This window comes from Homo sapiens, chromosome 4 (genome assembly GCF_000001405.40).
Source record: "Homo sapiens chromosome 4, GRCh38.p14 Primary Assembly".
Taxonomy (NCBI): domain Eukaryota; kingdom Metazoa; phylum Chordata; class Mammalia; order Primates; family Hominidae; genus Homo; species Homo sapiens.
The window spans coordinates 118,032,000-118,046,668 of record NC_000004.12 but is presented as its reverse complement, the minus strand read 5'-3'; the positions used below and the strand labels follow the sequence as shown (position 1 = coordinate 118,046,668).

At 39.5% G+C, this 14,669-nt stretch overlaps 1 protein-coding gene across 9 annotated transcripts in view; it reads right to left on the bottom strand.

Moving 5' to 3' along the window:
* Positions 1–13,347, bottom strand: part of NDST3 (N-deacetylase and N-sulfotransferase 3) — a 225,313-nt gene extending 211,966 nt beyond the window's left edge. For 5 of the 9 annotated variants that reach the window (NR_146514.2, NM_004784.3, XM_017008839.3 and 2 more), the window contains exon 1: positions 12,077–12,183. The gene's annotated coding sequence lies outside the window, so the exon portion shown is untranslated. Of the gene's footprint in view, positions 1–12,076; positions 12,184–12,757 lie in introns of those variants that run through there. The other 4 variants (NR_146513.2, XM_006714416.4, XM_017008840.3 and 1 more) reach the window with 1 other exon arrangement.
* Positions 13,348–14,669: the final 1,322 nt, after the last annotated feature.

The window sequence follows — 14,669 nt, the reverse complement described above, 5'->3', positions numbered from 1 at the left end:
ACTTGGAGTTGGATTCTGGGTGCTCTGAGGAATCCAAAGTGCTCCCAAGCCACGAGGAACATAATCAGGTGGAGCAAGGCACCCAGGCTGGGCAGCAGAGGCTGTACTGTGCATATGTTCCTGCAGGGCTGCTAGGGTGTGGCCCTGAGAGGGGCTGGCAGGCTGGAAGGCCTGCAGAACAGACATGATCCAGTTCCACAGGGAAGTCAGCTCTACTTTCTTCTGGCCTAGTGGTCAGCTGTGGCTAGAGCTTTTTGGAGGGAGATGGAGAGACCTGGGTTATGGACACCTATTACCATGTTCTGCCAGAGCTGCACCATGTACAAAGGCTCCTGTTCCATTCTGGATGAAGCTCTGTCTTTATCTACTCTCCAATCAGATCCCCTTGTCAGATCAAGTGTCCATGGGGGATGCGGGGCCCTCTAAGCCAGGATCCCATAGGCACATGGTGAGGGTGGGCAGTCCCACAGTCCCATCATGAACCTATTCCCCCGGAGCTGTTGAGGGCCAGGGACTAGCCCTGCCTCCAGTACCCTGTGCCTGCCTTCTCCCTTCTCAGCCTCAGCATCTGCATTGCATCTCCATCTACTTTAAGCATTTTCTTTCTAGAGATCTGTCCAAATTATGTTGATTTACTCAAACCCTTGGTTTTTCTCCGTGGGAGTAGCACTTCTTTGCTGCATCTAGTTGGCCATCTTGCCTTCCCCCTCTGGAATTCCTGGGTGCTTCTTAGAGCAAAACCTTATTAGAGTTTTATGGTCCTGGAACTTTGCAAGAAATTATAATGGAACATAAAAAAATTAAGACAGGTCCTGTGATTCTACATAAGGCAGGCTAAAAGCTAGCTGGTACAACAACAAGCACAGGTGAAAAATACTGTATTTAGTGTTTGTCATAAGATTAGAGTCTATCGCACATCTGCTTCTTACTTATTGTGTCATTTGGGCCTCTGTACCAAGTAAAATGATGAAGTTCACGAATAACATTCTGCTTCCAAAATTCTATGACATAAACAATGAACAATATTTTGAACAATATGTTTATCTTTATGAATAATATAACATTCTAGAATAGAATTGTAGGATATTTATGGTATATTCTATTTACAGGATAAATGTGTTATTTATCTTTTAAATTATATATTGTAGTTCATTCATTAAAATATTTAGGGTATATATGTCATGCATTCAAACATTTATGGGGTAGCTCTCATGCTATTTAAAATATAAATGTTCAGCAGACTGAATTTATTTAAAATGTTCTAAATTATAAAGCAGAGATAGTGACAAGAATGATAATAATGTGAGGGTTGTGGATTAGAGACAATGACTATAACAGGATGAGAGAAGAAAGAGACCATGGCAAGTGGGGGAGTCTGTGGAATGCTCCAGGGGGTGGTGAGGCTGTACTGTGGAGTAGGATTTGGGTAGAGCCTTGAAGGATGGGAGTAATTTGAAGAGACATTTGAGATAGAGGGAATGTTACAGAGGCAGGAATGAGCACAATATTGGGTAAGGATGATGAATAATGAGTGGGAGGAAAGAGTGAGAAATACTTAAAAAATAAATTTGACTATGTATGGGTAACCCAGATTATGCTAAGACTTGAGAGTACAGAGGTTGTGAAAGATTGTAGGGAGATCTTATGGTTTGTATGTGTCCGCCAAAGTTTGTGTGCTGGAAATTTAATTCCCAATGCAACAGTGTTGGGAGGTGGGGCCTAAGAAGAAGTGAGTAGGTCATGAGGGGTCTGCCCTCATGAATAGATAAATGTCATTATCTTGGGAGCAGGTTACTTATCTCAAGAGTGTCATAAAAGCAAGTTTGGCTGGCTCTTGCTCTCTTGCCCCTTTGTGCATGCTGTCTTGCCCTTCAACCTTCCACCATGAGATGACACAGTAAGAAGGCCCTCACCAGATGCCAGCACCATGCTCTTAGACTTCCAAATCTCCAGAACTGTGAGCCATATAAATTGTTAATGTTTATAAATTATCCAGTCTGTGATATTCTGTTAGAGACACACAACTTTCTTGATTAGGGGGATAACATAACAGATTTTTCTGGGACAAGAATTAATAACATGGAGAATATCATAGAGCAATCTTACAGAGTTGATCTGGCACGCCAGTGCAGTCTCATTTCTCACAATGTAGTCGTAAACTGTTAATCATCATAGGTGAGGGAGAATTGTAGGGAAGGGACAAATCTTACAAACACTGCAGAGAAAGGGGGACAAGAACTTGGCATGCCATGTGAGGTCTCTTTTAAATGCTCTGGTATAGATACAGATGATATTTAAGCAAATAAAAATTTACCTGGACAACAGAGTTTTCATTGTAATTATAGTTATTTCATTTTGATAAGTAATTGCGCTTTTACAGTTATGTACGTTCTTATGACTATAATATTCTGGAGCATAACAGCAGAATACAAAATCTCATATCCTCCCATTTCTACGTTTCAATTTTACCTGTGAGGTGTTTTTGACTAGACATAAAATGTATTGCTACATTTTCCATTTTAGATAGCAGCATTTTACAATTTGTCCCCTTTGTCAAAAGTGAAAGGCATGTAACTTATACAATTCTTATCTGTGATGAGGCAGAGTGGTGAAGAGTATTTGCTCTCACTGTTTAGGACAGATATTAGGAATCTATCAAAGTTATTTTCTCTGTAAGCCATTATAAAATGCTGAAGGACATTTCTTTTCTATTAAGCTCTTCAAGTTTCCTTCTGAAGCTAAAGAAAAAATTCCAGTGCACGTCCCTGAGGAATTGGTCTAACATATTTAAATGCATACATTAAAATTCTCCTGTTTTCTGCAAACCTTTTTCAATTGCACATCTCACTTTGCCATGCCAACTTCAGTCTCTGGTGCAGATTCTCAGAGCTTTCTATTCATACTACAAACTCATCCAAGGACAGCTACTTCCCATTCTCTTCCATGTTTCTGTTAGCTCTGAAAACTTCAGGATGGACTGACCTGTTGCTGTCACTCCTCCTGTGGAAGGTGGCACCGTAGCAGTAGGCAAAGGCAAAGTTACAGACTTCACCTGAGCCCTTCACTTGTGAGGCATCATGCAGATGGATGAATATGGAAAATTAAGCTCCTCGCCACAATTGCCCTGTGGTGCCTTCTCTGACTTTTCAAACTTGGTAAGACCAGTGGGTATACATGGTCTTTGTGAAAAGAGCATCTCCTTTGTACTTATTGCCATAATTAAAATTTTGTTTAAAGTCAGACTTTCTGTATGCCTGGAAGCTCCAAGAGGGTAGAGATAGTACCTTTCTTTTGCCTATCATTGCACCACTTGTGCCAGGAGCAATGACTTTTTGTGGAATTAATGGAATACAATGGCATCTTACACCTGTAGGTTAATTTGACACTTTTACTGTATTCTAATGCTTTAACTTATCTTTTGAAGTTACAAATAACTATTTCATTCAATGTTAAGTTAATGTAATCATAGCATCCCAACATGGGATAAATTTAATATCATAATATCTATGGTAGATAAAACCTTCACCCACCAAAAATACTTATCATTATGCAATTAGTGATCAGGTATTTACTGAACACCTACTTTGGAATTAGTGCTGTAGTAAATACTGTGGACACCACGGAAGTATATTAGGATATTAGGAATAATCCTTTCCCCTAGATAATGGACTCTATTAAGGGAAATGAGACTTGTGAGACAGCAGCCAACAGTATGTTGTACATAATAAATAGTGATTTATGCAGTATAGACTATCTGTTACAGGTTTCAGAAGAGAGAGAGAGAGACAGAGAGAAAGAGAGAGAGATTAGTGAAGCTTAGTAAAGTCAGTGGCAGTTTCTAAGAGACATGGTGCTTGAAAGTGACATGCCATGATGCACTGGGTTTGGATATGAGGATGGGGACAACATGTCAGGCAAAACTCCCTGGCAAGGTTGAAGAAATGAAATGGTTACAATGTGCTTAGCTCAGAGTGAAATTAACTAAAATATAGGATACTATGTTTGGGGTTGAAAATGGAAATAATATTTGATTAAAAGAGTGGTGCAGATTAATGAATGTCCTTGAAAGTGATTGTGAAGTACAAGAGTATGAGCTTGAAAATAAAGAGCATTGGGTGCATTTGAACAGAGGGATTTGATAAAGACAGTGTTTACAGATGATTAGTGTAGTAGTGACACCCAGAATGATGAACAGCAGTAATATGAACAGAGAGAGAACATGCCACACTGTGCAGAGTGAAGAAGTAGGCAGAGTCAAGACAGTCCCAGCTAAGGGGCTGCTGCTGTAATCCATGTGTGAGGTGGTATAGGTCCAGACTAAGGTGGTTTTGAGAGAGAATGGAAATGAGAGATATTTGGGAAGAAAGAAGAAAAAAAACATGCTTACTGTTAAATTATGGTTGGGGGAGGTAGCAGTCTTGGGGACTAGAAGATAAAGATGCCAGTATAATAGAAACATAAAACTAAGAGGGGAAATTGGCTTGACTCAGTGATGCACACTTCAGATTCAGATAGATAGATGGACTAAGTTATACATGATTAGATAACAAAATCACAATGTTATATAACATAGTTGGATGTAGACAAATACAAAATGTCAAGAAAATCTTTGGAATTGACAGGTTACAGGCACGTCTGAATGTGCTACAAAAACCCAATTCCTCAGGGAAGCCTTTGCTGACCAACTGTATTCTTCCCCTTTAGATGAGGCTCCCTTTGGAGACTTTATCATAACTCTTATGAAATATTATTAACAATATTATTTGTCTAATGTCTGTCTTCCTTGTTAGACTGAAATTTCCAAGGGCATAGGGCTCATGTTTTTTCCCAGTAATTTTTCAAATTTTTCAAAAAGAAATGAGATGAAAACACTTTTAAAGGCCAACAAGATCAACATGTAAACATTTCAGTATAGTGATGAATATGTTCGTGAAATGCTTGCACAAAAATACATAGAAAATTGAAGACTTTTGCATGGTCAGTAGGGTACTCTGAATAAGTACAGAACAAGCACACTAGCCTGCATGTCAGAGAGTTCCCACAGACACAACTGTCTTGATCAGCAGTACAGAACTGACAGTTGTGGTTGAATTCTGCTCCGAATTCAACCTATGATGAGGACTATGCTGACTGATCAGGAAACTGTATTTTAAATTTTGAAAATCAACAGATCACTTAGACAGGCATTCTGAAATAGTTAGGTTCGAGAAAGTTACAAAGTTGGATCAGTTATAAATGTCAACACATCATCAAGATTTCCTATAAGGCACCCTGAAGGAAATAATATGATATGGGAAGATATAGAATAACAATAGTAATGCAGCTAATATTAATAAACATTTACATAGGTACTGAAATTGTGTTGGACCCTTTAGAGGTGAAGTAACCTGCCCATGATGTCACAGCTAGTAGAGGTAGAACTGAAATATGAACTCCAACAGCCTGCATCAAAGATACCATACACCTGGGAAGATAACTGCAACACGATCCTTCCATGCTAGGAACAAGTAGGAAATGCATATTGGGCAGCTATTATCTTTAGATGCTGCAGTTTCCTTCTAAGAAAATGGGCTACTATGATATCTCCTAAGGGGATTTTAATGAGGGTTAAAGCTCTTAGAGGCCGGGTGCAGGGGCTCACCCCTATAATCCCAGCACGAGGGGAGGCTGAGGTGGGCAGATCACTTGAGCTCAGGGGTGGAGACCAGCCTGGGCAACACAGCGAAACCCCATCTCTACAAAAAATATACAAAATTTTATATATATATAAATATATATATATATAAATATATATATATATAAAAATATATAAATATATATATAAATTAGTTGGACATGGTGGCAGGTGGTCCCAGCTACTTGGGAGGCTGAAGTGGTTGGATCGCTTGAGCCTGGGAGGTGGAGGCTGCAGTGAGCCATGATCACACCACTGCCCTCCAGCCTGGGCGACAGAGTAAAATCCTGTCTCAAAAGCAACAACAAAAACCAAACTCTTATAATAGTGTTTGGCACATACAATGAACAAACAAAATTTATCTGCTATGATGATGATAATAGAAATAACACAGGAAATGAGGGAAATATCCTGAAGATGACCAATGAAAGTACACTAAGGGTTCATAAAGGGATAGCTATGAGCATTTTAGCTTAAGTAGAGTTGTGGGAAGCACATAAGCCCACCCTTAGTGCAGAGATCTAAAGTCGGATGGATCTTAGAAGAAAGAAAGAAAGAGGCTCAATCAGAGGCATAACCAGCACCATGTCCTTGGGCTTCTTTTCACCCCTCCCCCTTTCCTTAGATGAGCTCATATACTTCTTGGTTTTCATTATCATCTACACTCTAGTAAATTCTGAATGTTCATTCATAACTCAGACCTCCTTCCTCTAAGCTCTAGGATTTTATATTGAACTATCAACTTGATATAATAGCAACAACAACTCACATAGACTGTGCCCTTTCTTATTATATTCCAGCCACTATTTGGCTCCACTAGAATCATGTCACAAGCAAACTTAACCTGTCTAAAACTGAATTTATGATCTTTCCGCTAAAACCATCCTCATGGTCCCACAATCACCTACGTGCATCCTTAACACCTTCTTTTACTTGCAGCAACTAATCTCACCACAAATGTTCTTGGCTCCTTCTACCATTTTCTCAATGCAGCATCAAAGTGGAACTCTGTTACTTCTTTCCAGCTGAGATCCTGTCAATGATTGCTTATTTTACTTGCTGGTTAAAATTCATATTCTTGTACATGTCCCACAAGACCCTGTGTGGTATGCTTCCCACTTTTATCTCTCAGGCCTGGTTAGATGATGCTCTCCCTTCTAAGTTCCAGGCAAGTGGGTCCTCTTTCAGTTCCCAAAAGAGATAATCTCTTTTCTGTCTCAGGGTCTTTCCACATGCTGCTACCTTTGTCTGAAAGTTTTTTCTCCACTTCCCCATCTGGTTTCATCTTCCAAATCCTATGGTTCTAAGTATATATATCCCTGCCTCACAAAAGTCTTCCCTGATCCCCCTTATCTGTCAGGCCTCCCTGTTACACATTCTCACATCACTCTCTACTTTACCTCTGTAGTATGTTCCAAAGTTATAATTAGTTATGTGATTTTCTGTTATAATTAGTTATGCAATTTTTCTCCATAGCTTGGAAGCATCTGTAAGTACTTGTCCTGTTCACTTCTATATTTTTAATGTCTAATAGAGTACTTGAAGTGAGAATAGCCCATTGAATATTTGTTGAATGAGTGAAAAAAGGCCTCTACTAAATTTTACAAATAGCAGCTGGCACTCACAAACTAGGGCAGTATTTAAGTCAAACCATCTTCTATGAACAGCTACCTTCATCAGTCACACTGGCCTCAAACAGTCAAGGCAATAATATAAACATTGTGAATAGCAGTGACCACCTTGATCAGAGCCATAAATCAGGCATATCCAGAATGTGCTTTTCACTGAAATTTACTCAATTACTTATTTTTTCCATTCTGAGATTTTTCAGAATTCAGCATGAATAGAGTTGCTTTGCAATGCATCTGTTTTTAAAAAGACTCCACCAAGCAAATATTAACCATTAATTATTTACCATTAACAAAAGGCAGAAGAAGCAATTAGTTTTTGGAATCACAGACAATTCCATAACATAGTGAAAGAACTCAATATATACAAACATATATTCTGCAAAGTATTGCAATATCTGCAAGGGGAAGTGCCTGCTTGTCAATGTAACCTATCTTTTCTCTTCCACTAACACCCACCATCATCCCAAAGTAAAAATCAATTTCTAAATGAAATAGAATCATGTTAAAGTTGGCAGTACAAGAAAAGTGAAAAAAGATTACCATCTGGAAAATGAGTATTAATAACTAAAGAGCTTCAGGTTCTAACATAAATGAAAGATATTTAAAAGATCCTGACAATATTCCTTTTTCTGAAAAAGGAATGAACTATAAAACTATATTTTATAATGTTGAAAAATGCAGTGGGAGGCCTCAAATATGTTACATGGACTTGCTAAAAGTAATTTAGTAATAATAATAAAAATTGACAAGGGCAAGCTTTTCTTTGGGAAAGAATGTGTGAAATTGTGTCATGTTAATTAAACCCTGCTGTGGTAGGCAAGTAAGAAGCTGATTTACATGGAGTATGACCAAGAATACACTCTGTCTCTAGAACTGCAATTTTTAAAAGATGGATGGGAGAAAAGCTGCACTTGAGGGCATTAGCTTTGTTTGGTACATTAAATGGAAAATGACTTTCTATTATCATTCTCCCTCCATCTTTGTATTAGAAATTATGAAGAGAAGAATATGTTTTATTCACCTCCCTCAGTGTTATGCCATCCAGTGATGCAAGAGAAGAAAACTACCCCACTGCTGTTTGCTGTTTATTCTGCCCTATATGACTTAAGGGGGAAAATGTCTGCCTTTACCCTCTAAGATTGGACCAGAATGCATGCATCAAAATACGCTGACATATTCTGTCACACATGCTCACATATGACATATGTGAGTGCTGACAATGCAGCTTTTAGGGTCTAATCCAAACCTTTTCTTTGTCCTTCATTAGACTCATGGGAACAAGAGAGTGTTAACCTGGCCTCTCATTGGTTGCCTGGACCATTAGATGTAAAGTTACAGATCAGTGTTGGCTATGTTTTAGGGCAGGTTACATGAACCAGATAAGGAAAGACAGCCAATCTGCAGAGAGAAGATGATGCAAAAAGAGTAGAAACGAATAATGAAAAAATATGATATAGGGAGTCTTGAGGAGGTTGAAGGTTCTATTACTCTCTATTCTATGGACACATCAATAAAGGCGTCAGGTAAATTATTCTTCTGTTACCTTGGGCACATTTTAGAACAAGTGAGACTCAACCTAACAGCAGTAGCAAAAGAGGAGAAAGAAATCACCTGAACTAGACTGTATATACTTAGCTAGGGAAGGCACCACATTTAATTGTCCTGTGGACTCCTTTATGCCTGGTGCAAAAGTAGATGCTTAGTAAATACCTCCTGGGTGAATGAATGAGTATTTCATATGTAAGGGAAGTGATGGAAATTGTTGGAGTGGTATATGGATTACCTCTGTTCCATCAAGAGGCATATCAAGAACAAATATTTGAAACCTATAGAGAGACAATGTAGTATAACGGTTAAAGGAATGTGTGCTGGAGCCGGACTCAAACTGCATACCAGCTTCAGCACTTGCCAGGGATGTGATCTTAGGCAGGTAGGTAACCGCTCAGTGCCTCAATTTCCTCATTTGTGAAACAGGAATAATATTTACCTTAAATAATCTTTGTGAAGATTATATGAGCTAAAAATTAATATGTAAAGTAGAACAGTGCCTGGTACAAGGTAACTATTCTATGAGTAAAAACTGTAACATCTCTACTTAGCAGAAATCTAGACAATAGTACTTATCACCAAGTTAAATTTTGTATTATTCACTGATGTTTTCTCATCTATCTTCGTCCTGGCCTCCAGATCAATTTCTAAAATGTTGAACAAACAGGATAAAAAAGGGTCTCTGGAATCCTCATTTTTCAGGTGAAGAAACCAAGCCCCAGAGCCAGCAAGGGAGCTGTTCAAGGCCACTCCTGTCTTGGCAGAGCCAGTCCTAGAATTTAGGTCTACTTTCATGTTATTTTCAAATATTTTAATGAAAAAAAAAATTCAGCAATGAAACACATGTAAAATGGATACCCATAATTGAGATGCTTAAAGGTTTTAGGATAGGACTGCAATAATTGATTTTTAAGCTCTTATTTGGCAACAGGTAATCAAGAATTATAGCCCTCAGTAATTTGTAGAAGATTTGGGGAAATAATTTCTTATAGACATTAATTAATTGTAGTAGGTCCTGACTACTTTTTTTTTCTTGTCCTGTAACTTACATGAAATCGATGAAAATGTTTAGAGTAACATGAAAGAATAAATCACTCACTGTGATATCCAGGTATCTAAGAGTATAGTTTTTTACTATAAACAAACAGACAAACCAAGAAATATTAAAATCACCCCTTTACGAGAAACTTCAGTCATGAAATAGTTTTGAGGATTGTTCAGACTAATTATCTTTATAATGTAGGTCGTTACTTTTGTGGCCTGGCAGCATTCCTAATCTGGACAGGTGTTCAGAGTTCATGCATTTCAGTGTGAATGCTCATTTATAATAGACACAGCACAGGGAAAGTAAACTTCTACTGTTTTCCCTTACTGTCAGAACTGTTAAGCAATTAGAAATTCAAGGCATTCATTTAGTTGAGAATAGTGTTTTTATCCTTAATTCAATTTCCCTGATTTTATAGTGTATATAAATCACAAAGTATTTACATATAGTTTAAAAAAATATATTTTGCATCTTAACAAATGCACTTTTAAGGCTCTAATCACCAAAAAGCAGCTGAAACTCAATCAGGTTTCAAGGAAGTCATATAATCAGAGTCCCAAGATTAAAAGAAAAAAAATTGTAATTTCTTTACAGTTTTAAAATTTTGAAATGACAGGTAGACAATTACATATTTACATTTTAGCTTATAATAACTTCTTTAGCAGAATATATGGTTTAGAAAAAGAATCTCCAATGCCTGATTATCTCTTCTACTATATATTTTTTAACAAACTTTTCAGTTACACCAAAAATTAATATTTGCCTCAATGTTCAGAAATAATGCTTTTCTCAAGAAAATTAATTTAAAAAGAGGGTATATATAACTCCACCAAACTAAACTATAACAAATATCTCCAGAAAGAGATAAAAGTTTTATTTTATCTAAAACATTTTAGTAATGTAAGAATTCTTCATTTTAAAGACTATGAAGAAAATTAACTCATGTGACAAGCTCAAAATTAACATTATTTACACAAAGAAACAAATCTTCTGTTTTACCATCAAGATGATAAAGAAAAATGATAACAAAATTAGAAATGGTAGATACTGTGTTAACCAGAGAAAGAAAAAAAAGAGCTTATCTTAGGCAAGCCTCTTTATATGTTCAGTACTATTTTAAAAAGGAGCCTCCTTCAAACTTATATTTGAAATCTCCATCTTAAATATAATATTGATAGGAAGGTATGGATGAAGAAAAAGGGAAAAAAATTCCCTTCAGCTGAATATCGGATATTCTAGAGTTTCTCTGCCATATCATCCTGCTCTCTGGTGGTGAACAGCATTGCTCAGTAGTTGATAACATGAAATTTTCTAAGGGCAAAAAAAAAAAACAAAAAAAAAGTGTGTGTCCCAGATCAGTTGCACACATCTCAATATTTGATTTGTATTTTAATTTAATACAAATGTATTAAGAATGTAGCTGTTTGCATTGTCTAGAAGGGTTTTCTTCTAAACTCTTCCAGATTACATGTTGCTATATTTCAATATGTTTATAAAGAATATAGATACTAATACATTTTCGACATTAAATAACTCTGATGCTTAAACAGTATCCAGCTATTAGAAAAACTATTTGAAAAAGGATCTGAGTAAACCCCTTAAAGATGTAACTTTGCTTTTACCTGCCCCCACAAAATGGATATATTAAATAGAAGATATATCTGTTTTCTTTAAATTTAAAGTTTCTGTATTTGATACCTAGATTGATTCTTTCCATTTCCATTTAATTTTATTAATTGTATAGTTTTAAATAATGTCTATAAACTGCATCAAATAGAAAGCCTTTTGAGGATCATTACTGTGTAGATAGGCAGGTAGTTTAAAGTCTCTGATATTCCTTACAAAATTCTGTCAAGGCAACAGACATGTGTTCTGTTAAACAGATCTACTTCAGAATCATTATAAGTTGGTGAATATCTTAAACAATTACAAGAGGTCATTTCTTTAGTACCATAATCTTATGAAAGGGAAGCTTTAAAATCATCCCTGAATGAGACGGTCCTTTGTTTCACTTAATTTAATCAAAATACTCTATATTTCTTCTTCAAGAATAAAATGAAGCACTTGTTCAATCTTGAAATTTTTAGATTATTTGAAAGCAAAGTTGTTATCTCTTAAAAGCCCCTACATTTATGAGTGAGGCATTAATGCACAGTATAAATAAATAAATACACTTACCTGGAATTAAAGTTCAGAGCTGAAAATGCTTGAGAAAGTTGCAATAGATGGAAAAGAAACGGAAACAGTACCACTCGTTACCATCGGCTCAGGCTTTTTGACTTTACAAGTGGTAGCAACACCAGTCCTGGCCCAGTACTCTCATGTTATGTAACATCTTATTAATATTAGCCATCAAACTGCTACCAAGCTGGTGAGGCACTAGAGGGCAAGAGTGTCACATGCAAGACCCGTCGCCAAGGGACCGGCTTTGGTACCACTTCGGGGGAAGACAGATGCTAACTAAGCTGATGAATAACAGGATGCCCGAATACAACAGCAAACTTGTAACGTTCCTCAAAGAATATTTTACATGTCAATTTTCTGACTAGCGGAAGAGTTAACAGGTTAATAAATATGAGCAAGCAAATAACCACACCATGAAAAACTTTTAGGATTATATTTACAAACCCACAGTCACTCAAGAGGCTGTTTGTTTTTTTCTTTCCATTGTCTAAATAAACTTATTTAAAACAGGAGAAAAAAGCTGGTTAAATAAAACGAGTGTCGGTTTCAGGACTCCCTCATTCCAAGCCGCGAGAAACTTGTCTGGTCGAGATGCCGCCTCTGGAGTCCGCATTCCAAGGCGCCCGGATCGGGTTTCTGGGCGAGGAGACCGGCCCCGTCCTCCATGGAGATTACCTGGGGCTGCAGCCGTCCGCGGGCTCCTCCTTCCCTCGGGTCTTCGGCCTCAGCCGCTCCCCAGGGCCCCTCGTCCGGGTGGCGCTTGGGTGCTACGCGGTGCCCGGGGTCCGGCGGGGGCGACAAGCGGGCGACCTCTCCCCTCCGCGCCCGGGATCTGCGCGGACACAGCTGGTGGCGACTTCGGCCGCTCAGGCTGCGGCTGCGGGGCGAGCGCAGCGGGTGCGCCGGGGACTCCTGCGCTGGAGAACCACGGCCCTGGGACCCGCCCGGCCGCGCCTCCGCCGCCCTCGCCACCGCCTCCCGGGCGGGAGCCGCCGCCTCCCAGCTCCCGGCCCGCGCGCGCCCGCCCCGGGGAAGGGGAGGGAGCGGGAGCTGAGGACGGGAGCCGCCTCCATCGACCGGGCTCCCGCCCGGACCGGCCCTGAGGATCTGGCTGCCCGGGCCTCGACAAGGAGACCCCGGGGGTTCCGCCCCGGCCTGCCAGTTCCGACCGCCCCTCCCGGCGGGTTGGCGGCGGCCGCCAAGGATGAAACGTCTTGTGCGGCCAGGGAAAGGGGTGCGAGTCCCCGAGGCGACGCTGGAAGGGTGGGGCGCACCCGCGCGGTCCCTTCCTGTGGTGCTCCTGCCGTTGGCACTGGACCAGGGCGGCTGCGAGGCTGCAAGAGTTTCCTCTGTTCGCCAGTTTTTTTCAAATGCCATGTGTTTCAGCTCCTGAAGACAAGTGGAAGGCCAGCAACTGAAGAGATATTTTGGATTCAAGGTGTGAGGTTACCCTCTCCAGAACTATAGTTTGATTAGAAGTGTGAATCGAATGATATATATTTTTAAAAATTTCATTTGGTTCCACTAACATGTGAATTGTATTAAGTGGGGTCTACTAATGATACTTTGTATTGGCCATTTGTGGTTTTGCTTCCCAGCACTCACTCTTGTTGAAACAGTACTCCTGTTCATTTTGGAAGATCCAACCACTTGATCTCACCCCGCAGCCCATTTGCTTTAGGTGATGTCAGCCGCTGCTGACTCACTGGTAGACCCACAGCTCAGGTCTGGCCAGTGATGGCTTTCTGTCCTGGTAGCATGGGTAGGTATGTAACCCAGGTCTGGCCAATCAGAGAGAAAAACAGAAAAAAACCACCATTCTGGGACTTTTTTTTTTCCTTCCTCTCTTAAGAAAGTGGACTCTCTTCTACTGGACTTTGCATAATGAAGATGTGAGCTTAGAGCTTGAAGTCTGAAAATAAAGCTGATACTCAGGAAGGCAGAACTGAGAGTTGGAGAAAAGTGAAACCCAGATGGAGATTTTCGAGCTTGGAATCGAGCTGTAGCTGAAATAAGTTCTATCTCTGGATATTTTCATTCATAAACAAATACATTCACTTTTTTTTTTGATTCGGAGTCGCGCTCTGTCGCCCAGGCTGGAGTGCAGTGGCGTGATCTCAGCTCACTGCAAGCTACGTCTCCCGGGTTCCCACCATTCTCCTGCCTCAGCCTCCCGAGTAGCTGGGACTATAGGAGCCCGCCACCAGGCCCGGATAATTTTTTGTATTTTGGTAGAGACGGGGTTTCACCGTGTAAGCCAGGATGGTCTCGATTTACTGACCTCGAGATCCGCCCACCTCGGCATCCCAAAGTGCTGGGATTACAGACTTGAGCCACCGCGACTGGCCACATTCACTTTTGTCTTAAGGCAGCTTGGACTGCATTTGCTGTCCCTTGAAACTGAAAGAGACACAAACGATGATACAGTAATTAAATATTCTGGTTGTTTATTAACTTTATCAGGGTATTTGGATTCGTAGTTCAAGACCTTCAATTAGAACCCAATGTCCTGAAAGGGTTAGTTGGAATTGTGTTTTAAAATCAGGAAGTTATATATCCTTTTTGTTCTATGTGATGGAGGGGTTAC